The sequence below is a fragment of the Homo sapiens genome, chromosome 12 (assembly GCF_000001405.40).
Source record: "Homo sapiens chromosome 12, GRCh38.p14 Primary Assembly".
Classification (NCBI taxonomy): Eukaryota; Metazoa; Chordata; class Mammalia; order Primates; family Hominidae; genus Homo; species Homo sapiens.
In genome coordinates, this window is record NC_000012.12 from 124931383 (window position 1) to 124956101 (window position 24719).

General features: G+C 50.5%; 1 protein-coding gene, 2 non-coding genes and 1 pseudogene across 7 annotated transcripts in view, besides 5 other annotated features; 1 reads left to right on the plus strand and 3 right to left on the minus strand.

Moving 5' to 3' along the window:
- Positions 4086-4504, minus strand: RPL22P19 (ribosomal protein L22 pseudogene 19; annotated as a pseudogene).
- Positions 6641-7840: an enhancer, noted in NCBI's record as "MED14-independent group 3 enhancer chr12:125422569-125423768 (GRCh37/hg19 assembly coordinates)". NCBI's record gives its function as "activates an origin of replication core promoter dependent on BRD2, BRD4, P300/CBP and CDK7 cofactors, and independent of MED14, by STARR-seq in HCT116 cells {active_cell/tissue: HCT116}" and the evidence as "EXISTENCE:reporter gene assay evidence [ECO:0000049][PMID:35650434]".
- Positions 7329-7598: an enhancer, noted in NCBI's record as "active region_7317". NCBI's record gives its function as "activates an Ori minimal core promoter by ATAC-STARR-seq in GM12878 lymphoblastoid cells {active_cell/tissue: GM12878}" and the evidence as "EXISTENCE:reporter gene assay evidence [ECO:0000049][PMID:35858748]".
- Positions 7879-8118: an enhancer, noted in NCBI's record as "active region_7318". NCBI's record gives its function as "activates an Ori minimal core promoter by ATAC-STARR-seq in GM12878 lymphoblastoid cells {active_cell/tissue: GM12878}" and the evidence as "EXISTENCE:reporter gene assay evidence [ECO:0000049][PMID:35858748]".
- On the minus strand, positions 8265-8336 carry TRD-GTC2-10 (tRNA-Asp (anticodon GTC) 2-10). Its single transcript has one exon. It is a non-coding gene; the product is annotated as a tRNA-Asp (tRNA).
- Positions 8299-8378: a silencer, noted in NCBI's record as "silent region_5072". NCBI's record gives its function as "represses an Ori minimal core promoter by ATAC-STARR-seq in GM12878 lymphoblastoid cells {active_cell/tissue: GM12878}" and the evidence as "EXISTENCE:reporter gene assay evidence [ECO:0000049][PMID:35858748]".
- Positions 8584-8655, plus strand: TRA-TGC4-1 (tRNA-Ala (anticodon TGC) 4-1). The gene has a single exon. It is a non-coding gene; the product is annotated as a tRNA-Ala (tRNA).
- Positions 11587-12088: an enhancer, noted in NCBI's record as "H3K4me1 hESC enhancer chr12:125427515-125428016 (GRCh37/hg19 assembly coordinates)". NCBI's record gives its function as "activates a minimal SCP1, AML or CMV promoter by ChIP-STARR-seq in primed H9 embryonic stem cells {active_cell/tissue: H9 hESC(primed)}" and the evidence as "EXISTENCE:reporter gene assay evidence [ECO:0000049][PMID:30033119]".
- DHX37 (DEAH-box helicase 37) overlaps positions 15444-24719 on the minus strand; it is a 42306-nt gene continuing 33030 nt past the window's right edge. The window contains exons 19-27 of one of the 5 annotated variants that reach the window (NM_032656.4): positions 22705-22829; positions 22498-22614; positions 21016-21188; positions 19308-19422; positions 19031-19168; positions 18767-18861; positions 18604-18677; positions 16702-16799; positions 15444-16505 (exon numbers count right to left, since the gene is read on the minus strand). In NM_032656.4, coding sequence (NP_116045.2) covers positions 16420-16505; positions 16702-16799; positions 18604-18677; positions 18767-18861; positions 19031-19168; positions 19308-19422; positions 21016-21188; positions 22498-22614; positions 22705-22829 — 1021 coding nt within the window. In that variant the 3' untranslated portion in view covers positions 15444-16419. Of the gene's footprint in view, positions 16506-16526; positions 16800-18603; positions 18678-18766; positions 18862-19030; positions 19169-19270; positions 19423-21015; positions 21189-21431; positions 21589-22497; positions 22615-22704; positions 22830-24719 lie in introns of those variants that run through there. The other 4 variants (XM_005253590.4, XM_047429218.1, XM_011538600.3 and 1 more) reach the window with 4 other exon arrangements.

A 24719-nucleotide genomic window follows, 5' to 3' on the forward strand; every position in this document is an offset into this window, starting at 1 on the left:
CCTCATCCTCCCGAGTAGCTGGGACTACAGGCGCACATCACCACATCTGGCTAATTTTTGTATTTTTAGTAGAGACGGGGTTTCACTATGTTGGCCAGGCTGGCCTCAAACTCCTGACCTCAAGTGACCGACCCGCCTCGGCCTCCCAAAGTGCTGGGATTACAGGGGTGAGCCACCATGCCCAGCACACATATTTCATTTTCATGAGTTGATTTTTTTTTTAAGCAAAATATGAGGCTGGGTGTGGTGGCTCACACCTGTAATCCCAGCACTTTGAGAGACCAAGGTGGGTGGATCACTTGAGCCCAGGAGTTCAAGACCAGCCTGGGCAACATAGTGAGACCCCGTCTCTAATACAAAAATTAGCCAGGTGTGGTGGCACATGCCGGTAGTCCTAGCACTTTGGGAGGCTGAGGTGGGTGGATCACGAGGTCAGGAGATCGATACCATCGTGGCCAACATGGTGAAACCCTGTCTCTACTAAAAATACAAAAAAATTAGCTGGGCGTGGTGGCCGCGCCTGTAGTCCCAGCTACTCGGGAGGCTGAGGCAGGAGAATCACTTGAATCCGGGAGGTGGAGGTTGCAGTGAGCCGAGATCACACCACTGCGCTCCAGCCTGGTGACAGAGCAAGACTCCATTAAAAAAAAAAAAAAAAAGCTCAGTATCAAGAATCATAGAAAAGTATGAAGATGTGAACTAATAAGCATCCATATCCTTCTTCTTAGAAATATCCCTCATGGATAGTAATTGAACACCATTCTAAGCCTCTCTGCAGTGGATATATACAGAGAGCATGAGAGATTGACAGATAGATTGTATTAAAATGGAATCAGATTATATATTTTATTTTTAATCTTTTTTTTGGGACGGAGTCTCACACTGTCGGCTGGGCTGGAGTGCAATGGCGTGATCTTGGCTCACTGCAACCTCCACTTCCTGGGTTCAAGTGATTCTCTTGCCTCAGCCTCCTGAGTAGCTGGGATTACAGGTGCTCGCCATCGTGCCCGGCTAATTTTTTGTATTTTTAGTACAGACGGGGTTTCACTATGTTGGCCAGGCTGGTCTCGAACTCCTGGCCTCATGATCTGCCCACCTCAGCCTCCCAAAGTGCTGGGATTATAGGCATGAGCCACCGCACCCAGCTTTATTTTTAACAAAAGGCAGCAACATCAATTTTAGTTTCACAAGAGAATAAGAAATCAGAAATGAAATGGAAGGAATTACTGAACTTAAGATAACTGTTTTGGGGCTGGGCGCGGTGGCTCACGCCTGTAATCCCAGCACTTTGGGAGGCTGAGACGGGGTGGATTAACTGAGGTCCAGAGTTCGAGATCAGCCTGACCAATATGGAGAAACCCCGTCTCTACTAAAAATACAAAATTAGCCAGGCGTGGTGGCGCATGCCTGTAATCCCAGCTATCGGGAGGCTGAGGCAGGAGATCACGCCATTGCACTCCAGGCTGGGCGACAAGAGTGAAACTCCATCTCAAAAAAAAAAAAAAAAAAAAAAAGATAAATGTTTTTTCACCCCATGAGACAAATTAGTTTGTAATCAATTCCATGTGTTAAGAAAAAAATTAAACATTTAGAGGCTTTATTTTTATTTTTGAGATGGAGTTTCCCTCTTGTCGCCCAGGCTAGAGTGCAGTGGCACGATCTCCGCTCACTGCAACCTCCGCCTTCCGGTTTCAAGCAATTCTCCTGCCTCAGCCACCCGAGTAGCTGGGATTACAGGTGCCCGTCAGCACGCCAGGCTAATTTTTGTATTTTTAGTAGAGACGGGGTTTCATCACGTTGACCAGGCTGGTCTTGAACACCTGACCTCAGGTGATTCCCGCCCGCCCGCTGCCTACGGCTCCCAAGGTGCTGGGATTACAGGCTTGAGCCACCATGCCCGACACCATTTAGAGGCATTTTAAAAGAATTCACATTAGTTTGGCCCGGTGCGGCAGCTCAGGCCTGTAATCCCAGCACTTTGGGAGGCCGAGGCGGGCAGATCACGAGGTCAGGAGATCGAGACCATCCTGGCTAACACGGTGAAACCCGTCTCTACTAAAAAACACAAAAAAATTAGCTGGACGTGGTGGCGGGTGCCTGTAGTCCCAGCTACTCGGGAGGCTGAGGCAGGAGAATGGCGTGAACCTGGGAGGCGGAGCTTGCAGTGAGCCAAGATCATGCCACTGCACTCCAGCCTGGGCGACAGAGCGAGACTCTGTCTCAAAAAAAACAAAACAAAAAAAATTCACATCAGTTTAAATTGGCACGTGCTATTCATCACCTGATATAGAGCAATTCATTTAACTATCTTCTGATCTGTGGCTATTTAGGTTGTTTCTGCATAGGTTTTTCCTTTTGTATTTAAGATTTGTTCACTAAAGGCAAAATTCCATATATAGATTATGAAGTCCGAGTGTGGGATCTGGAAGCAGTTTCTGAAAAGGCTGAAGCCATTTATAGCTCCATCCTTCCCATTCCATTCTTGTCTTCTCCAAACATGGCTTAGGCTTAGTCTTTTTTTTTTTTTTGAGACGGAGTCTCGCTCTGTCACCAGGCTGGAGTGCAGTGGCGTGATCTCGGCTCACTGCAACCTCTGCCTCCCAGGTTCAAGAGATTCTCCTGCCTCAGCCTCCTAAGTAGCTGGGACTGCAGGCCACCCATCTAATTTCCACCTAGCTAATTGTTTTATTTGTATTTTTAGTAGAGACAGGGTTTCATGTTGGCCAGGATGGTCTCAAACTCCTGACCTCAGGTGATCTGATTGCCTCCGCCTCCCAAAGTGCTGGGATTACGGGCGTGAGCCACTACGCCCGGCCGGTCATTCTTAAAAGTAAATGTTTTTGTTTGTTTGTTTTGTATTGAGGTGAAACTCACATAACATAAAACTAGCTTTAGAGATCGGGTTCTCACTATATCTCAAACTCCTGGCCTCAAGCAATCCCCTCGCCTTGGCTTCCCAAAGTGCGGCAATTACAGGCATGAATCAATGCGCCTGGCCAAAACCAATTATTTTATTTATTTTCTTTTTTTGAGATGGAGTCTCTCTGTCGCCTAGACTGGAGTGCAGTGGCATAGTCTCAGCTCACTGCAGCCTCGGCCTCCCAGGTTCAAGCGATTCTCCTGCCTCAGACTTCCGAATAGTTGAGATTACAGGCACACGCCACCATGTCTGGCCAATTTTTTAATTTTTAGTACAGATGAGCTTTTTAGTAGAGGCCAGGCTGGTCTCGAACTCTTTACCTCAAGTGATCTCCCTGCTTCAGCCTTACCAAGTGCTGGAATTATAGGCGTGAGCCACTGCACCCGGCCCAAACCAACCATTTTATTTTATTTTTATATATTTTTGTGTGTTTTTTTTTGTTTTTTTTTTGTTTTGTTTTGTTTTTGTTTTTTTGAGACGGAGTTTCGCTCTTGTTGTCCAGGCTGGAGTGCAATGGCGCGACCTCGGCTCACAGCAATCTCTGTCTCCGGGTTCAAGCGATTCTCCTGCCTCAGCCTCACAAGTAGCTGGGATTACAGGGATGCACAACCACGCCCGGCTAATTTTGTATTTTTATTTTTAGTAGAGATGGGGGTTTCTCCATGTTGGTCAGGCTGGTTTCGAGCTACTGACCTCAGGTGATCCGCCCGCCTGGGCCTCCCAAAGTGCTGGGATTACAGGTGTGAGCCACTGCCCCTGGCCAAAGCCAACTCTTTTACAGTGAGCAATTCAGTGGCATTTGGTGCATTCGCACTGTTGTGCAACCCCCATCTCTATCTCACTCCAAACATTTTCTTTCTTTTCTTTTTCCTTTTTTTTTTTTTTGATGGAGTCTCAACTTGTTACCCAAGCTGGAGTGCAATGGCGTGATCTCGGCTCGGTGGAACATCCGCCTCCCAGGTTCAAGCAATTCTCCTGCTTCAGCCTCCCGAGTAGCTGGGATTACAAGCGCACGCCACTACACCCGGCTAATTTTTTGTATCTTTAGTAGAGACAGGGTTTTCACCATGTTGGCCAGACTGATCTCGAACTTCTGACCTCGTGATCCACCTGCTTCGGCCTCCCAAAGTGCTGGGATTACAGGCGTGAGCCACCGCGCCCGGCCGATAAATGAAATTTAATCCTCGTTTTCCTCCTCTTCGTCCTGGTTAATTTGGAAGTAACGTAATTCGTAACTCTGTTTGCTGTTAGCAACTACGCGCAACCAATCATGTAGATTATTCTTCTTCAGATATTTTTTGGTGAGATATTTCAAATACCTGTTGGAAAAGGGCAGCTTGGATGTCACGCTGGTCTTGCTCTTGCTCCCTTCGATGGTCACTACCCCTCCACCAAAGTTCCCAGCTTTTCCGTTCATTTTGATCCTTTCTTGGAAAAACTGCTCAAAGTTGGCAGCATCCATGATTCCATCTTCTACGGGGTGGGTGCGATCAAGAGTGAACTTTGGAACCTGCTTCCTTTTTTTTAGCCCTCCTTTACCACAAGCTTTTTCATGGGCGCCATGGCGGTAGCGGAGGCAGAAAGAAGGCAACATTTGTTTGTTTGTTTGTTTTGAGATGGAGTCTCTCCCTGTCACCCAGGCTGGTAGTGCAGTGGTGCAATCTTGGCTCACTGTAACCTCCGCCTCCTGGGTTCAAGCAATTCTCCTGCCTCAGCCTCCCTAGTAGCTGGGACTACAGGCGCCCGCCACCATGCCCAGCTAATGTTTGTATGTTTAGTTGAGACGGGGCTTCACCATGTTGGCCAGGCTGGTCTCGAACTCCTGACCTCGTGATCCTCCCGCCTCGGCCTCCTATAGTGCTGGGATTACAGGCGTGAGACACCGCGCCCGGCAGGAAGACAAATGTTTTTACAGGAAAAAAAGGAGGAGGATTACATAATTGTTCTGACATAATTATGGTTGGCTGCAAAGATCAATAACAGAGGTGACCGTAGTCTGAGGCTGGACAGGCAGCTGCTTGGCGGATGTCCTTGCAGTAGTCTTTTTTGTGTAAGGTCGCGAAGGCGTTTGTGCAAGGTTGTGGTTTTTCTAGAGTCTTTTATCAGGCCTGCAAGCACGGGAACCCTCTCTTCATGGCCTTCCCTGGTTCTATTTGTCAGGGTTTATTTATTTATTTATTTACTTACTTAACATCCATGACTTCATTTTGATTCTGACAACTTTCACAACATCATGGGTTGAAAGTAGTAACTTGTGTTTTACTTCCATTTATTTAAATACTTCTAAGAGCCAAGCTTTTCTGTAAGTTTTATTAATGAATCATTTTTCCTCTTCTGTAAATTCATTGCCTGTTGATTGTGATCTATTGATATTTTTGAATTTTTCTTAGTGATTTAAAAAATTATTTCTATAATAAAGATATTAGGCTGGGTGAGGTGGCTCACACCTGTAATCGTAACACTTTGGGAGGCTAAGGCGCGGGGATTGCTTGAGCTCAGGAGTTTGAGACCACCCTGGCTCCTCCTAAATGATTGAAAGGACACAACATAATGGATATGCTGTAATTGATAAAGAGACCTTAAAAAAAGTAAAATCAGGAAGATTACCAAATAATTGGTCTGCTCAAGCTTGCAAGTTATTCGCACTTAGGCCCTAAAATATTTACAGAACCAGGTAGGAACTATCTATACTGACTCTAAATATGCTTTCAGAGTATCTCATACATTTGGAAAAATTTAGGCTGAGCGAGAACTATTTAACAGTAAAGGTAAGGAACTTGCTCATGAAACACTAGTTGTTCATGTTCTTAATAATCTTCAATTACCGGAAGAAATAGCCATTGTCCATGTTCCAGGACACCAACCTAATTTTTCTTTTAAAAGTCAAGGAAACGGCCGGGCGCGGTGACTCACGCCTGTAATCCCAGCACTTTGGGAGGCCGAGGCAGGCGCATCACGAGGTCACGAGATCGAGACCATCCTGGCTAACACGGTGAAACCCCGGCTCTACTAAAAATACAAAAAAATTAGCCGGGCGTGGTGGCGGGCGCCTGTAGTCCCAGCTACTAGGGAGGCTGAGCCAGGAGAATGGCGTGAACCTGGGAGGTGGAGCTTGTAGTGAGCTGAGATCGCGCCACTGCACTCCAGACTGGGCGACAGTGCTAGACTCCCTCTCAAAAAGAGGAAAAAAAAAAAGAAAGAAAGAAAGAAAGAAACTTAACAGAATGCAGTGAGGTCAGGCACTTCCAAGAGCTGACCCATCAGTCAGCCCTTATTCATCCCCGAGTGGGTGTATGGTGGTATTTTGGAGAACCTTTACTGGACACTTTGCCAAATAATTGGAGCGGTACTTGTGCTCTAGTTCAGTTAGCTATCCCTTTTACCCTGGCATTTCATCAACCAGAAAAACAAACAAACAAAAAAACATGACATCGTAAAACAAGAGAAGCCTCTCGTAGGTCCTTTGACCCCCATGTTTATTTAGATACAACTGACGTTCCACGAGGTATATCAGATAAATTCAAAGCTAGAAATCAGAGAGCTGTGAGGTTCAAATCCCTTCTCCCACAAATAACAATTAATAAGAATGTAAATTGGATAAACAATATTTATTACTATCAACAACAATTTATTAACTATACTTAAAGATGCTATTAAAGGAATAGCAGAACAGTTAGGATCCACTACTAAAATGGCTTAGGAAAATAAAATGGCTTTAAATGTAGTATTAGCCGAGAAAGGTGGTGTTTGTGTTATAATTAAAACCCAATGTTGTGTACAACCTTCATCCCAAATAACACGACTCCTAACAGAAGTATAACCAGAACCTTACAAGGTCTCACTGCTTTATCTAAAGAGCTTACTAGAAATTCTAGAATTAATAACCCTATTTCAAATTGGCTAGGACGATGGTTTGGTCAACGGAAGGAAACTATAACCTCAATTCTCACTTCTATTACTACCGTAATAGGTACACTTCTCCTTCTCGGATGTTATACCATGCCTCTGGAAGCTAATGACAAAATTAATAACGACAGTTCTTACCAAAACTACTAAAACCTATCTTAACTCTCCTCCACCTTATTCTAAGAGATTTCTCCTCTTAAAAGCTCAAGTAGAACAATTAAGCCAAAACATGCTAAAACAGTTTAAAAAGGAAAAATTATAAAAATTAAAAGGGAAGGAAATGTAGAAAGCAAAAGTTCCTCTTCAAAGCTTCCCCTTTAAATCATAAATGTTATTAATATCTTTTCTCAGAACTAACTTTCTTCAAATTTCTTATTTTATAGTAATAACTCTCTGTTAAGCCTTAGGTAGCAAATGTAACAGAATAAGCACACTCTGACTTCGGTATCTGTGCTAAACATGCTCACAGGCACGTAGTACATTCTATGTCCTTGTACCTTTGTCAAAATATTCGTGCTGGACGTGCCCAGGCATGTCCCAGCTTGCAGCCTACACTCTTCCTTATTTAGGAATATTATTACTTTTCTAAGTCCTTTCGTAAGGAACATCCTTTTTTCCTATGTTCCTCACTGCTTTTACCTATTTAAAAAATTTTTGAACTGTTAGCTAATCGGGTTTTAGTTTAAATTGTGAGGTCTGGCTGCAGCCAATGAAGTCAAAACACAGCAATAGGGACCTCATGCATAAGGAATAAATATTCTTCAGTTGTATCTGACTTTTAAAAATTAGACGTATCATTTTGATAAAAATCGAATAAGAGAGGAAAGGAAAGAAAAGAAGGGAGAAAAAAATAGAATTCCAAAAGTCCAGAAAGGTACAGAAATGGAAAGTCAAAAAGTCACTCCTCCCACCCACCACCCGAGTCCTTCTCCCCAAAGGCCCCCTATGTCTACAGTTGATCGTGACTGATGTGACCGCGGGCGGGCCACGGAGCCTCTGTCTGAGCCTGTATTTCATCAGTTTGATGTGGAGAAAACGGCTCGTTGGTAGGATCCTTGAGGATGTAATGCGTGAACACTAAAGCGCTTACCAATACCGCCCCCGCACGTTAAGAACTGTATATTGTTGGCTGCTGCTCCTGCTGCTGTTGTTACCGTGATGCCAATCAGAAACATTAATATACTCACACATTTGTGTGCATATCTATAATTTTTTGACATAAAAATGAACCTATTATGCTCACTGCCGAGCACCCTGTTTTTTCTTCCCTCGAACTCTCCTTGGAGGGGAAGGAACCCTCGTAAGGGCCCTAATTCAGTGTTGCAGGCACACCTGCGATGTGCACATCCTCTTATACCTACTCTGTATATTTTGGAACACCGAAAAGCATCGCCAACAAAGTCTCCCCTCTGTATTTAAAAATACGAAAGTACCCGGCCTCCCCGTCGGGGAATCGAACCCCGGTCTCCCGCGTGACAGGCGGGGATACTCACCACTATACTAACGAGGACAAGCCGTACTGTGTTCCCTGCAGCTCCCTTCTTATGTCCATACCATTCTCTCGCTATCGTTCCTAACCTTTCCGGGCCATCCAGGCTCCGCGCCGGGCACCCTGGCTGCTGGGCTTATCCAAGGCGGGTAGAGGCCCCTTTGAGTGGCTGGAGGCACTGCACGTTCCGAAGCTAAGGCACCTGAACTAGCAGAGCGAAGGGCACTTCCTGTATCACCATCCCCAGAAAAGACCAACACAAGGGGTAGGGGATGTAGCTCAGTGGTAGAGCGCATGCTTTGCACGTATGAGGCCCCGGGTTCAATCCCCGGCATCTCCAGACTTTTCCGCCTTTTTCGGGCAAATTACAGTCACGTGGTTACAAAAGCTTGGAAGAGGACCCAGGCAACCCTCAACAACCTGCCTGCGAAGAAAGCTCCCTTGGAAGGGGCTGCGCCAGCACATTTCCCTGCCCCTAATCACAAATGCCCTGGGCCCCTCCACCGGAGATTCGCGTTCAGTAGGTCAGTGACGGGGCCGGGAATCTGCCATTTGAAACGAATACTCCCAGTTATTTGTTTCATCAAGCAGATAGAAAAACATGGATTCCTTAGAAAGGTTCTGCAACTGACCATTCATTAACTCCTGAGGGCCTCATGTCAGGTTCCGTGCATGCACTGAGCACCTACTGTGTGCCGGGTAAAGTGTACGTCCCCTGGTATCCCTGGATAAGACAGGCCAGGCAAGCTTTCTCAGCCTTTTTGGACTTTATAGTCCAGTCCTGGAGACTTAACAATAAGCAAGTAGCGATACGTTTTATGAAGACAATAATAGCGATGAGATGGAAACTCAGGGGTGCAGGAGTGGGGGTTGCTTTAGATTAGCTGCCAGGGGAGACCTCTGCAGAAACAGTGCTTCCAGCGAAGGAAACGGCAGGTGCCAAGGCCCTGAGGCTGGAGGAAGGGCGCTCAGTGTTGAAGGGGCAGGAAGAAAGCCATGCCCTGGAGCTTAGTGAATGAGGATGAACTTTATCTTCGAAGACACTGGAAGGCCTGACGCAGGGGAACGCGACCAGATTCAGGTTTGAAAAGGCTCCCTCTGGCTGCCATGCGGAGAACACACCCTGGGCGTGGGTGGACGTGGGGAGATCGGGAAGGAGGTGCAGCCACCGCCCAGGAAGCTGCTGGAGACTTCCTCCAGGGGTGCTGCAGAGGAAGTGCGAGCCTGATGGAGTTCAGGACAAATGCTGGACGTGGTTGCATAGTATTTCCTAACGGAGGGGTAGCACGCTTTATTACCATTCCTCCTAGGGATTCGGGTAATTTTGTTTCCTCTCACTGAAGTCTTGTAGTCAGTGATCTGGTGCATGCGTTTTCCTTGCCTTCTGGCGCCGGTACCTCGATGGGGCAGATGTCCACAGGGAGCAATGCAGGGTCAAAGGGCATGGATACTTTTACAAACGTACTTCTCTGTCGCCCAGGCTGGAATGCAGTGGTGCGATCATAGCTCACTGCAGCCTCGAAATCCTTGGCTCAAGAGACCTCCCAGCCTCCCCAAAAGCTGAGACTACAGGTATACTTCACCACCTCCAGCAAATATTTTTCTTTTTTTTTTTTTTGTAGAGACAGGGGTCTCGCTATGTTGTCCAGGCTGGTCTCGAACATCTGGCCTCAAGTGATCCTCTCACCTCAGCCTTCCAAAGTGCTGGGATTACACGCATAAACACCATGCCTGGTTTATTTTAAATATTGCTAGATTTTGGGCCAGGCATGGTGGCTCACACTTGTAATCCCAGCCCTTTGGAAGGGCGAGGTGGGCAGATCACCTGAGGTCAGGAGTTTGAGACCAGCCTGGCCAACATGGTGAAACTTCATCTCTACTAAAAATATAAAAAATTAGCTGGGTGTGGTGGCACACACTTGTAGTCTCAGCTACTCAGGAGGCTGAGGCAGGAGAATCACTTGAACCCAGGAGGCAGAGGTTGCAGTGAGCAGAGATTGCACCACTACACTCCAGCCTGGGCAACAGAGCAAGACTCTGTCTCAGAAAAAAAAAATAAATAAAAACAATAAATATTGCTGGATTTTTTTCTAAAGGCTGTGGCAACTTACATATTCAATAACAATGTATGAAGGTGCTCTTTTCCTTATATTCTCAGCACTGGGTATGGCCATGATTATTAATTTTTCCAATCTGTTGGGTAGGAAGTAGAACTGAATTATTTCTCTGCTTTTTTCCTGCCTACTTTCTAGGGTGTGCATGTTTTCAGGTATCTACCAGCCATGCAGATGCAGGTTTTTGTGTTTTTTTTTCCAGATGGGAATCTCACTCTGTCATCCAGGCTGGAGTGCAGTGGTTGATCTCAAATCTCCACAACCTCCACTTCCTGGGTTCAAATGATTCTCATTCCTCAGGCCCTCGAGTAGCTGGTATTACCGGTGCGCGCCACCATGCCTGGCTAATTTTTGTATTTTTTCATTCAAGACGGTGTTTGGCCATGTTGGCCAGGTTGGTCTCGAACTCCTGGCCTCAGGTGATTTATTTGCCTCGGCCTCCCAAAGTGCTGGGATTATAGGTGTGAGCCACTGCACTCGACCTTAGATGCAGTTTTTTTTTGTTTGTTTGTTTTTTTGAGAGAGAGTTTAGCTCTTGTTGCCCAGGCTGGAGTGCAGTGGCACAATCTCGGCTCACTGCAACCTCTGCCTTCTGGTTTCAAGTGATTCTCCTGCCTCAGCCTCCCGAGTAGCTGGGATTACAGGCGCTTGCCACCACGCCTGGCTAATTTTTGCATTTTTAGTAGAGACGGGGTTTCACCATGTTGGCCAGGCTGGTCTCGAACTCCTGATCTTGTCTGACCTCGTGATCTGCCAGCCTCGGCCTCCCAAAGTGCTGGGATTACAGGCATGCATGAACCACCACGCCCGGCCTAGATGTAGCAACTAATTTTTTCATGGCCTTTGCCCGTTGTGTTTTTCTCACCAAATTGCAATAGCTCATCCAATAGTATGACGCTGTTTATCATGTTTTGCAGTATTTTTCATCTATTCTTTCATCTTCTAACTTTGTTTATACAATTTACCATGTCAATGTAAGATTTCGATAAGGTAAAATGTCTCCCCTTTCCTTTATAGTTTCTGGGAAGTTTGTTTAACTTTGTTTTTGTTTGTTTTGCTTTGTTTTTTGAGAGAGACAGGGTCTCACTCTGTCGCCCAGGCTGGAGTGCAGTGGCACGATCTTGGCTCGCTGCAACATCTGTCTTCCGGGTTCAAGTGATTCTTCTGCCTCAGCCTCCCAAGTAGCTGGGATTACGGGCGCCTGCCACCACACTGGCTAATTTTTGTATTTTTAGTAGAGACGGGGTTTCACCATGTTGGCCAGGCTGGTCCTGAACTCCTGGCTTCAAGCGATCTGCCTGGCTTGGCCTCCCAAAGTGCTGGGATTATAGGCATGAGCCACCATGCCTGGCCTTGTTTAATTTGGAAGCTTTTTCCAGTGTTCTTACAAATATTCACTGCAATTTACTTTTTAACATTTGCCCTACCATGTTTTGGGGACCCAGGATGGTAAGCAAGACAGAAGATCTGCTGTCACTGGGCTTGCTGTCCAGAGTGGGTGGCAGGCAGGCCACCCTCCCTAGGGAGGCGTCTAGAGGGGCTTGCCTCTGAAGATGAGAAACCAGAGGGAGCAGGAGTTAGGCTCAGAGCACCACAGGAGAGGGAACGGCACCTGCGGAGGCCAACAGGGCTGCTTCGGGGAAGGTGGAAGGAGAGCAGGTTGGCCCTTGGGTGTGGTGTGAGTGGAGTGTCCGTGCAGGTCCAGTCTCAGAGGCCACGTTTGAGTTGGCCTTGATCCCTTGGGTAATGGGGACTCTTCATAGGGCTTTAAAGCAGGGCAGTGGCCGGGCGTGGTAGTTCACGCCTGTAATCCCAGCACTTTAGGAGGCCCAGGCGGGCATATCACCTGAGGTCAGGAGTTCGAGACAAGCCTGGCTAACATGGTGAAACCCTGTTTCTACTAAAAATACAAAAAATTAGCTGGGTGTGGTGGCGCTCACCTATAATCCTAGATACTCGAGAGGCTGAGGCAGGAGAATCACTTAAACCTGGGAGGTGGAGGTTGCAGTGAGCTGAGATCACATCATTGCACTCCTGCTTGGACACCAAGAGCGAAACTCTGTCTCAAAAAAAAAAAGAAAAAGAAAAAGAAAACGAACAAAAAATAAAGCAGGCTGGTGACGTGATCTGATCTGGGACACGATTTTCACAGAGGACAACCTAACCATTTCTCTTTTATCTTTTTTTTGAGATGGAGTTTCACTCTTGTCATCCAGGAAAGCAAGAAAAAGGCAGTGCTTGCCTGCGGAAGGGTTCATCCATTTCTTTCTTTTTTTTTTTTTGAGATGGAATCTCGCTCTGTCGCCAGGCTGGATCTGCCTCAGCCTCCTGAGTAGCTGGGATTACAGGCAGCCACCACCACGCCTGGCTAATTTTTGTATTTTTAGTAGAGATGGGGTTTCACCATGTTGGTCAGGCTGGCCTCAAACTTGTGCCCTAAAATGATCCACCCACCTTGGCCTCCCAAAATGCTGGGATTGCAGGTGTAAGCCACCACGCTCGGCCACCTAACCATTTTTCAAAGGGAAGAATCCCCAAGTCTCTTGACCTGGCAATCCCACTTCTTGGCATTTGTCTTGTGGATATACACCCAGGTATGAAATGACTTGTCTATAAAGATGCTCAACACATCTTTGCTCATTATAGCAAGGTTAGGAAGTACCCATTGCTGGGACTGATTTTAAAAACAATGGTAGCGCTACCTAGTGTGAAATGTTCTGCAGCTGATAAAAAGGACGGGCCAGGCCAGGTGCAGTGGCTCACGCCTGCAATTCCCGCACTTTGGGAGGCCAATGCAGGAGGATTGCTTGAGCCACGGAGTTCAAGACCATCCAGGGACTGGACACAATGGCTCACACCTGTAATCCTAGCACTTTGGAAGGCTGAGGCAGCTGTATTGCCTGAGCTCAGGAGTTCGAGACCACCCTGGGCAACATGGTGAAACCCTGTCTCTACCAAAAATTAGCTGGGCATGGTGGTGGGCGCCAGTAGCCCCAGCTACTGAGGAGGCTGAGGCAGGAAAATCACTTGAACCCGGGAGCTGAGATAGTGCCACTGCACTCCAGCTGGGTGAGAGTTGAGACTTCATCTCCAAAAAAGACCAGCCTGGGCAATATAGTGAAACCCTTTCTACCACAAATTTTGAAATTAGCTTGGTGTGATGGTGTGCGCCTGTAGTCCCAGCTCCTCAGGAGGTTGAGGTGGGAGGATTGCTTGATCCTGGGTGGTCGAGGTTGCAGTGAACTATGATTGTGCCACTGCACTCCAGCCTGGGTGACAGATAATGTCTCTTTTAGAGACAGTAGGGAGGGTCTTTTAGGGTCGCAAGACCATTCGGGGGGAAAGAACTGCCTCTTTGACAAATGGCGATGGGACTGAGAACCACATGCAAAAGAATGTTGACCACCTGACCACACCATATATGCAGAAATTAATTCAAATTGGATGAAAGTTTTTTTTTTTTGAGACTTTGTCTCAAAAAAAAAAAAAAAGAAAAGCTAAATGACATTGGCCAGGCAATGGTGCTCTTGGTTTTTTTTTTTTTTTACTCTTAGGTATATACCCAAGAGAATGGAAAATATACATCCACACAAACAAAAACCTGTACATCAATGTTCACAGCAGCTCTATTCACAATAGCCAAAAGACGGAAACAAATAAAAATGTGGTCTATCCATACAATGGGGTATTATCCAGCCATAGGAAGGAATGAAGTACTTCAGGAGCTCAAGACCAGCCTGGGCAACATAGCAAGAGCTGTCGCTACTAAAAATTTTAGCCCAATATGGTGGAGTGTGCCTGTAGTCCCAGCTATTTGGGAGGTAGGAGGATCACTTGAACCCAGGAGATGGAGGCTGCAGTGAACTAGGATCGCACCACTGCACTCCAGCCTGAATGACAGAATAAGATCCTCTTGAAAAAACAAGCAACAAACCAGGCGCGGTGGCTCACACCTGTAATCCCGGCACTTTGGGAGGCGGAGGCAGGTGGATCACGAGGTCAAGAGCTCGAGACCATCCTGGCCAACATGGTGAAACCCCGTCTCTACTAAAAATACAAAAATTAGCTGGGTGTGGTGGCATGTGCCTATAGTCCCGGCTACTCGGGAGGCTGAAGCAGAAGAATCGCTTGAACCTGGGAGGCAGAGGTTGCAGTGAGCCGAGATTGCGCCACTGCAGTCCAGCCTGGTAACAGAGCGAGACTCCGTCTCAAACAAACAAAAGCAGCAAAAGAGATAAATGTCCAGAACGGGCAAATCCAGAGACAGAAAGTGGATTCGTGGGGCTTGGAGCTGGGGAACTGGGAGAAATAGGGGCAGACTGCTGATGGGTACAGGGTATCTTTTTAGAGCTATAAAAATGCTCTGGAATCAGGTCATGGTAACGGTTGCACAACTGTGATACACTAAAAGCAACTGTATACCTTAAAATGGGGAATTTTATGGTGTGCTAATTACATAACATTTTTTAAGAAGAATTGCCTAATTACAACTGTGGATGCTCTGCTGTGGTTGTGGAGTGCAATGAGGAGGCAGGGACGTCCCTGAGGAGGCTGCCCTGGCGCCTGAGACACTGGTGGGAATGACAGCTTCCGCTTTCATCTCAGAATTGCTAGCCCATGTGCGGTGGGATTTTAGGAAAGCTGGAGGTCAGTACTTTCGAGTGGGAAATAGCCCAATTCTACATGTTAGTGAGGAGTTCAAGTCCTCCTCAATCACCGGGCGGGTCAAGCGAAACGTGTCTGCAGGCTGCCCTGGCTCATGGCCCTGCCTTGGGCTCCTGGGGAGGAACATAGAGTGAGAAGGGCCGGGCTGCCATCTCGGCTCTGGGGCAGGTGGGGAGAGGTTGCTGCTTGGGCTTTGAGAGCAGCCAGGGAGGTAAGTAAACCCAGTGAGGAGAGGCCTCCTTAAAGCAGACAGCAGTGCTGGGAAGGCAGGTCGGCCACCAGGCCACGTCCCGGGACAGCACACTGGCCACCTGGGTGTCCTTCCCCAAGTGCATTCCACAACACAATCTGGGTGCAAGGAACATTTTATTCCATAACTGTCTCCACCGAAGCCGCAGAAGCAAAGCCAGGAGCAGAATCCATTCTGCCAGCGCTGGGCTCTGGGGAGACATCTGTGCCCTCACCATGGAGGACAGAAGGCAGGGGCCTCCCGACTCCTTGGTCCTGCCTGGGGTGCTCCTGTCCCTCTTTCTTGCTGGGGGACCTACCCCACCCTCCCCCTCCCACCTCAGCCACAGAGGAACAAGGGAGACAAACTGAGGGCTCTGCAGTCCCCGTTCAAGGCCAACATAATAGTCGTGTGGCCCCAGCCCAGCTAGGCGCATCCTCTGCGGCATGGCAGCGGTGACCAAGCACAGCCAACGTCAGCTCCGCTCCCTGCCGTCTGAGAGCTGACCACAGGCAGATGAGATGCCCACTCCCTGTTGCCATAACACAGGAAAGGCGTTGGCGGCCACCCTCCCAAGAAGGCATGGAGCCTGGGGGCCCCCAGCCAGGCCCCTCAAGGTCAACACAGAGCTCAGTGGCTCACCTAACATCTGGGACGGCTGTGAGGCCAGGGCTGGGCAGCCCTCCCTGACTCTGGAGAGGGAAGAATTGCAGGAAGGAGGCCCTCCACGTGCCTCCTCGGCCTTCTGGCAGGGCGGGCGGGGAAGGGACTGCAGAGATCTCCAGCCCTGCTGCTCCACAGGGGACTAATGTAGTCCAAAGAGCACACTGAACAGAACAGCGTCCAGCACGTGAGATGAAATCATCATCCACCATATAATAAACAGTTCAAAAAGTCACCCCCGGGCCAGATGGCACGGGCGGCAGCACCCTTCATACGGGATCGAGCTCTCATGGATGAGGGTTCCCAGGGCTTGACCCACTTCCTGAGAGCAGGCCACGAAGCCCATGCCAGGTGGTCACGGTCGCACGGTGACAGGCTGCTGCCAGCCCTCCAGTCCCCAAACCAGTCCTCGGCCCTGCAGCCAGGTTTCTGGTCAGTGGACAGTGGTGGGGGGCCAGGCTTTCTCGATATCGGGGTGCATGGCCTGTGGAAGCCACTCACAGTACTCAGCCAGCAGGTCTGCAGGGGAGGGAAGGAGGACAGTGTCAGGGTGACCCTGGGCCCAGGGACTCTCCTCAGGTGGCAAAAAGCTGGCCAGCAGCCGTGGGGCCAGATCCTTCTGCCAAGCCAGGGCTGACCGTGCACAAAGCACAAAGCCCCTGCCTCAGTGACCCCATCCTGTCTACTCCCACCCCCTGGCCCTGGTCAAACTCACATTTGGGGTTTTTCTTCCAAGCAGCCAGCAAGGCTTCATGGCAGTCAGCCTTCTCTGCAACCAGGGCTCGCAGAAGGCTCTCCGTACGGGGCTGCAGCCTGTGGGGCAGGAATGCACGTTGGTGGCAGGCAGCCAGGGCACAGACCGGCTGCTGCTGGGGGCCCGAAAGCAGGGCAGGCATCACCACCCCACCAGCCCCACCCAGGAGGGTGAAGAGCTGGCTGGGCATGGTGACATGCACCTGTAGCCCCAGTTACTCAGGGGGCTGAAGTAGGAGGATCCCTTGAGCCTGGGAGTTGGAGGCTGCAGTGAACCATGACTGCACCACTGCACTCCAGCCTGGGCAACAGGGCAAGAACTTGTCTCAAAAACAAACAAACTGGCTGAGCGTGGTGGCTCACGCCTGTAATCCCAGCACTTTGGGAAGCTGAGGCAGGTGGATCACCTGAGGCCAGGAGTTCGAGACCAGCCTGGCTAACATGGTGAAACCCTAGCTCTACTAAAAATCCAAAAATATTTGCCGGGCATGGTGGCGGTCACCTGTAATCCCAGCTACTCAGGAGGCTGAGGCAGGAGAATCACTTGAACCCAGGAGGCAGAGGCTGCAGTGAGCCAAGATCACGCCATTGCACTCCAGCCTGGGCAACAAGAACAAAACTCTGTCTCAAACAAACAAGCAAACAAACAAAACTCAAAAGCAAAAAAACATAATTCTCTAGACAGGCCTTCTAAAAAATAAATAATAATAATAAAATAAAAGAGAAGGCAAAGGGTCCCCTTCCCCTAATCATCCCGGGACAGAAGGCTCTAGATCCCACCTCCTCCCATCCACCCTGGCTGCCTCTGGTCCACATTCCTTGCCCACCAAGGCTGCTCTGTGCATGCAACTTGTCTCATCTAGAACCTTCCTCCAGATTTGTGCCCAGCTGCAGCCCTGGCTCCTTTGAATCTGCCCAGTGAGGCTCTCCCCGACCAGCCCAGTCGCACTCCACCCCCTGCCCACCGAGGCCTCACTCATGTCCTGCTCTGTCCCTCTGGGGCCGAGCAACGCTGCTGTGGGACAGAGATCGTGTCTGTATCCCAGCCCCGAGAACATGCCTGGGACAGGGCCACACTGGAAAACGTGAGCTGAGTGACTGACACGGCTCCTGACAGCCCAGCAGCGGGTGCTGTGCCCCACGCCCCATCTCGAGTCCCTGGCACCTGCCTGCACCTTCAGGCCTGCCTCCAGTGCCCCAAGCCCCTGCACCATAGGCCCCACCAGCCCCAGGAAGGGGGAGGTGTCTGTGGGTCTGGACCACAGGCAGGAGGAGAGCAGAAGCAGGAGGCAGAGGGCAAGGGTGAGCCCTGAAGCAGAGGTGGTGGGCGGGATGGGGCAGGGGTCTGCTTAGCTGGGAGGAAGTCCCCAGGGCCAGGAGGGCAGGATGCCTCCCACTGACACCTGGCGGCTCTGTGGGAGCTGCCCAGTGTCTCCCCTATCCCATATTCATGTCCACCCAGAACATCAGCGTGTGACCTTATATGGAAAGAGGGTCACTGCAAATGTCATGAGTTAAGGAGAGGTCATCCTGGAGTAGGGTGGGCCCTGAATACAATGACTGGTGTCCTTATAAGGAGAACACAGGGAGGGAGACTAAAGACACACAGAGAGATGGCCACGTGAAGATGGAGGCAGAGACTGGAGTGATGTGGCCACAAGCCCAGGAGGCCGACAGAGGCAAGACGGACCCTCCCCGAGAGCCGCTGCACAGACCGTGGCTCTGCAGAGCCTTCAGACCTGAGCACAGACTTCTGATGTTTTAAGCCTCCCTGTGTGTGGTGCTTTGTCCTGGCAGCCCCGGGGAGGTCATTCAGGCCTCGGACCCCTCCTGCCCACTGCGAGGCTCCCACCGAAGGCAGTACCTGGCCCACGTCTTCAGCATGGTGCCGGGGCTGGACAGCAGACAGCTCCGGTATGAGGCCAGCTTGCGGAAGACCTGATGAGAGACCACAGGAAGGGGTGAGGCCCGGGCTGCTGCTGCCCACGGTACCCGAGATGAGGGTCTGGAGCCGCTGTGCCACCTACCTGCCCTTCCAGCAGGAACCGGGCAAAGTGCTTGTAGCGGTCAATCCCCTCTGGAAAATCCACCTCGATGGCGGGGAGCGGCCAGCCCACGCGATCTAGAAGGTGGGAGCCAGTGAGACAGGGACCCTCCTGCAGCTGCCCTCCCGAGTCCCATCCCTGCCCCACCCGAGACACACACGTCCGGGGGCAGGGGACAGGACCGTGTGTCCGAGAAGCCCACGGCTGCAGGAGGCTCAGGTTGCCCAGGACACTGCCCCAACTCACAGAACACGCTGGCCCGGTGACACAGCACCCGCCCCCGCTCGGGGCAGTATGTAGGGGCTGGTTCCTCCAGGGGCTTGTCAAACTGGCAGTAAGAGGGCAGCAGGGCCGGGATCCACTGGACCTCCACGCTAGAGACGCCTGGGGGCCGGGGGAGGAAGCTGGGGTTACAGCGGCACCCTCCGTGGGAGGGGCTGCCATGCCTCTGCCCCAGGGTCCCAGCCACACCCCCATTAGCGTCACCATCGGGGGACAAGGGGCTGTCCGCAGGCCTCGGCACCTTTCATGTACATCTTAGTGGTCTCCACGATTTCCTGGTAGACCACAAACTCGGGGAGCTCTTTGAAAAGGACGGAGCTGGGGTGGATGAAGACAGGGTCGTCGAGGAGAGGGGTCTGCAGAGAATGGAGAGTGATGTGGTCAGGGAAGAACCCATGCCCAGGGGCTCCGCATACTTTCAACCCAGGAGAAGAATCTGATTATCCACTCCAGCCGCAAAAGTGGGAGAGTGCTCCATCTGCCGGGAAATGCGGCCCATCCACACGCTGGAGTCTGATCCAGCCGTGAAAAGGAAGGAAGTGCCGGGTGCAATGGCTCACGCCTGTAATCCCAACACTCTGGGAGGCCGAGGAGGGTGGATCATCTGAGGTCAAGAGTTCGAGACCAGCCTGGCTGGTTTCACCATGTTGGTGAAACCCCATTTCTACTAAAAATACAAAAAATTAACTGGGCATGGTGGCACACACCTGTAATCCCAGCTACTTGGGAGGCTGAGGCAGGAGAATTGCTTGAACCCGGGAGGTGGAGGTTGCAGTGAGCTGAGATCACGCCATTGCACTCCGGCTTGGGCAATAAGAGCAAAACTCCTTCTCAAAAAAAAAAAAAAAAGGAAGCACCGACACCTGCCATGGCGTGGATGGGGCTTGAAAGCATCACACTAAGTGCAAGAGGCCAGACATGAAAAGCCATGTATGTTAAGATTCCACTCATGCCAAATGTCCAGAACAGGCAGATCCACAGATGGAAAGCAGGATCATGAAAACGGGGGTGACGGGGAACTGGGGACTCACAGCTTACATATGTGGGGTTTCTTTGTTGGGTAATAAAAATGTTCTAAAGTTAACTATGATAATGGTTGCAAAACTCTGTGAAAATACTAAAACCCACTGAATTGAACACTTTAAATGGGTTTAAATGCAGGCCAGATGCAGTGGGTCACACTTGTCATCCTAACACTTTGGGAGGCCAAGGTGGAAGGATTCCTAGAGGCCAGGAGTTCAAGACTAGCCTGGGTAACACTGCTTGTAAGCCCAGCGTTTTGGGAGGCCGAGGTGGGCAGATCACTTGAGGCCAGGAGTTCAAGACCAGCCTGGCCAAAATGGTGAAACCCCTTCTCTACTAAAAATACAAAAATTAGCTGGGCATGGTGGCACACACCTGTAATCCTAGCTATTTGGGAGGCTGAGGCAGGAAAATTGCTGGAACCCAGGAGGTGGAGGTTGCAGTGAGCTGAGTTCGCACCACTATACTCTAATCTGGGCAACAGAGTGAGGCTCTGTCTCAAAAAAGAAAACAACAACAACAAAATTAGTCGGAGGTGGTGGTGTGCCCCCTGCAGTCCCAACTACTCAGGAGGCTGTGGCGAGAAGGTTATTTGTGCCTGGGAATTCGAGGCTGCAGTGAGCTATGATTGTGCCACTGCACTCTATCCTGGGCAACAGAGCGAGACCTTGTTTCTAGAAAACACAAAAAACCCCAAAAGAGTTTAAATGCTGTGTGAATTTTATCTCCACTAAACTGTTATTAAAAAAAAAAAGTTGGGAGAAACTAACCAAGGAAGATGTGATTCTACTGCAAGCCCCACTTGTTCCTCAGTGGGGACCCACAGCTGAGAGGGAACAAGCCTCCCCAGACCCTGAGGGCCCAGCCCGCCTGCCCCTCACCAGGTGCCCCAAGCTACCCGGGCAGGGAGGCGGTGGGGGCCGCACCTTGTAGGCGTTCCTCCACTTGTCCTCCAGCATCTCCTCGCTCTGGACCCTGCGGGCCAAGTGGTCCCCCAGGCCTGCCGTCACGATCTGTCGCAGGTAGGTCACCTGGCTCTCGGTGGGCGGCTGCATCTTGGGATCCACGAAGAGCTCAGCCTCGGGGCACACGGCATTGACTGAGGGGAGAACCAAGAGTGAGGTCGGTGGTGGCAAGGCCCGGAGCCAGCTCTGCCCTGACCTCCTAGAAAGTCCCAACCATGCTCAGTGCTCTAGCCTCAGCCACCTGCTTGTCTCAACCCCTCCCCAGAGGCCACCAGCAGGACCCAAAGCCCCCAGCAGGCAGGATTGCAGCCGCCCCCCCATTCCCTCCTTCTCCCTTGGGACAAAGCCCCACATCCTGCCTGGGCAGCAGAGCATTCTTCGAGGAGACAGCCCTCCCCTAACACCCAGGTGGCCTCAGACTCAGTTCTGGTCCATGATGTGAAGAAGGAAGTTGCGGCTGGAATTCCTGGGAACGTTCAATACGGGAACAGGACAGCCGGCGGGTGCCCTGGCCTCATCCTTCCCTTCTCTTGCCTGGAAGGCAGAGGTGACTAAGCCTCCAACTACCTCCTCAGCCCAAGAGGTGACCTTAGGATGGAAGGCACAGCGAATGGCAGGAGGATGGCAGCAGAGAAACGCCCTGGGCTGCTGACTCAAGTGACTTCTCTTCCTTGCAACAATAAAGGTCTAATGTCACCAAGCCACTGTAACCAGCACTGTCTGGAGGCTGACTGCAATTCTAAGCTGCTGCACCTGGAATGGGGCTGCTCTGGAAAGCCACAGCCAGAAGGACACAGAGCATGGTGACAGGGCCACCACCATGCACCTGGCGCTGGGAGAAGGATCGGCCGGAAGAGAGCCATCAATTCTGGCATCAAACCTTGGGATCTGCTTAAATGGAAGGCAAATTCTCCACTAGCCTTGGGTGCAAGAACGTGGCCTGCCCAGAAGAGACCCAGTGTCCACGCTGCCCTCTCTACGCATCGTCCTCTTGCCATATGTTGGAGGACATTTCCTTCCTCTCAAGCTTCCCTGGGTGTTGGTGGCAGGAAGTATTTGTGCTGCTGAGCTGAGGTAGAGTCCAGGGCAAGGCCTCATCCTTCTGCATGAGAAGGGTCTGGGGGACATGTGGGAGGGAAGAGGGGTCCAGGCCACAGCGGTGATGGAAAATGGCAGGGGGTATCGCCAGGGAAAAGGTGAAACCGAGCGACGACCTGGTGGGGGAGGGTGCAGGCTGGCAGCTCGAATCTGTTAGTGCCCTGCTCATGTGCACATTCCCTTGTTCCTGGAAAAGCTCCCCAAGTATTGATTTAGGGTTATAAATACATTTTGGTGCGTAGCAAGTTTGCAAACGTGGACTCTATGGATCACTTTTTTAAACATTTCAAGTGCCCAGGTCAGGTTGCCCGCCGGGTGCAGCGGCGTGCCGGCACGGGGCCGTACCTGCGGTGGTCAGCTGGCCCCGCAGGCGCCGGATCTCCATCATGGCTTTGTACCGCAGCCCGTTGGCTTCGCAAAACTGGGGTGTGCAGCTGGCATACTCACAGGCTCCCACGGCGCCTGGGGAACGAAGAGGGGGCATGCTCTCTCTCTGACCCATCCCAGACCTGGGTGACCCTCCCGCCACCCTCCAACGGGCAGGGCACAAACCCAGCAGCACCATGAGGTCGCCGAGCTTCAGAGAAGCCCCCTGCCCTGCCCAGGTCCTCTTCATCTGGGCCACCCGGGCCCGCTTGCTCTTCAGCCTGGTGAGCTCCTCGTCACTGGCCGCTGGTCTGCAAACACACATACATACTGTCTGGGCTGGGGCCTCGGCTGCGCTCAGGGCCTCAGCGGGGGGAACTCCTTTATTCATCGGGACAGGCTCAGAGGCCTTGTGGGGTCACTGATGAATGTAATTAAGGTATTAAGGTCCAGCTCAAAATTCACCATTGGCAGCCACCGCTGCACTGTTGTTCTTTTTTTTTTCTTTTTTTTGAGACAGAGTCTCGCTCTGTCGCCCAGTGCAGTGGTGTGGTGTGATCTCGGTTCACTGCAAGTTCCGCCTTCCGGGTTCACACCATTCTCCTGACTCAGCCTCCCGAGTAGCTGGGACTACAGGTGCCCACCACCAGGCCCGGCTAAGTTTTTGCATTTTTTGTTTAGTAGAGACAGAGTTTCACCGTGTTAGCCAGAATGGTCTCGATCTCCTGACTTCGTGATCCGCCCGTCTCGGCCTCCCAAAGTGCTGGGATTACAGGCATGAGCCACCGTGCCCGGCCACTGCACCATTTTTAGGTAATAAAAAACTCTGCAAACTGCTTAAATAGCTGCCAAGGGTGGACTGAATAAATGAATGATGCCAGTGGCTTCCAAACCTGAAAATAATACTAACACTTAACATATGTGTCAGGCACGGCTCAAAGCACTTTGCTTGTGTTAACTCATTTAATTCTACCAACAATCCAATTATTATCATTATCATCATCCCCATTTTCCAGATGGAGAAAATGAAGCTCAGAGTGGTACAGTCACTTGCCTAAGGTCACACAGCTCAGAATGGCAGAGAGAGATTCGAACCATACCTGAGCTCTCAGTCACCACGCTACAGAGCCTTGACACTAGCATCACGTGGGAGTCTTAGAGATGCTGGGACCAGGAGATCTGGGCAGAGGCCAAGACACCTGGTTTTCAAGACCTTACATGTAATGGTTAATTATGTGTCCACTTGACTGGGCAAAGGGATGCCCAGATAGCTAATTAAGCCTTATTTCTGGGTGTTTCTTTGAATTGGTGACTGGCATAAAGCTACTGCCCTCCCCCAATGTGGGTGTGGGCCACATCTGATCCACTGAGGGCCCAAGTAGGCAGAGGAGGTGTGACTTCGGGCTCTGCTGACTGCGTGAGCTGGGTCTTCCCTGCCCTCGATGCTCCTGGTTCTTGGGCCTTCAGACCCCAACTGAAACTGACACCACTTTCTGTTTCTCCAGAGAACCCTATTATTCTCCCCCAAGGGATTCTGACGAATAGCTGGGATTACAGGTGTCCATCACCATGCCCGCTTTTTGATTTTTAGTAGAGACAGGGTTTCACCATGTTGGCCAGGCTGGTCTCAAATTCCTGACCTCTCAAGTGATCTGCCTGCCTCGGCCTCCCAAGTGCTGGGATTACAGGCGTGAGCCACCATGCCCGGCTAAAGCTGCTTTTGAAGTTCAGATGCACTGACCCTGAAAAGATACAGGACCATCTGATCTCATTTCCTCAAATTAAAACTCTGTCCGTGCAGAGCACAGGGAAACGTCTGGAACTGCACTGGCCAATACAGTGGCCACTAGCCACATGTGGCTGTTTAAATTTAAACTATTAAAAATAAGTAAGGTTTTAAGTCAGTTTGTTGCCGTAACTGCCACATTTCACAGGCTGAGGCCACGTGTGGTTAGTGGCTGCGGTATGGAATGGCCCATGCAGTGATGTGGCCTAAAGCAAAGTTCCTGGTTAGGGTGGGTGGGACCGGGGAGGGGAGGTGGTGGAGGATAAACAAAGAAAAACCATCCAGATCTCAACAGATTCCCCAGTGTCCACCTAACTGCCTTCCCAACTAGTGTCTGCTCTGTCATCTGACAAGATGGTCCAAACACAGGCAGATTGACCCTAAGGGAAGCAGCAGGCTTTGCACAAGATGCAGA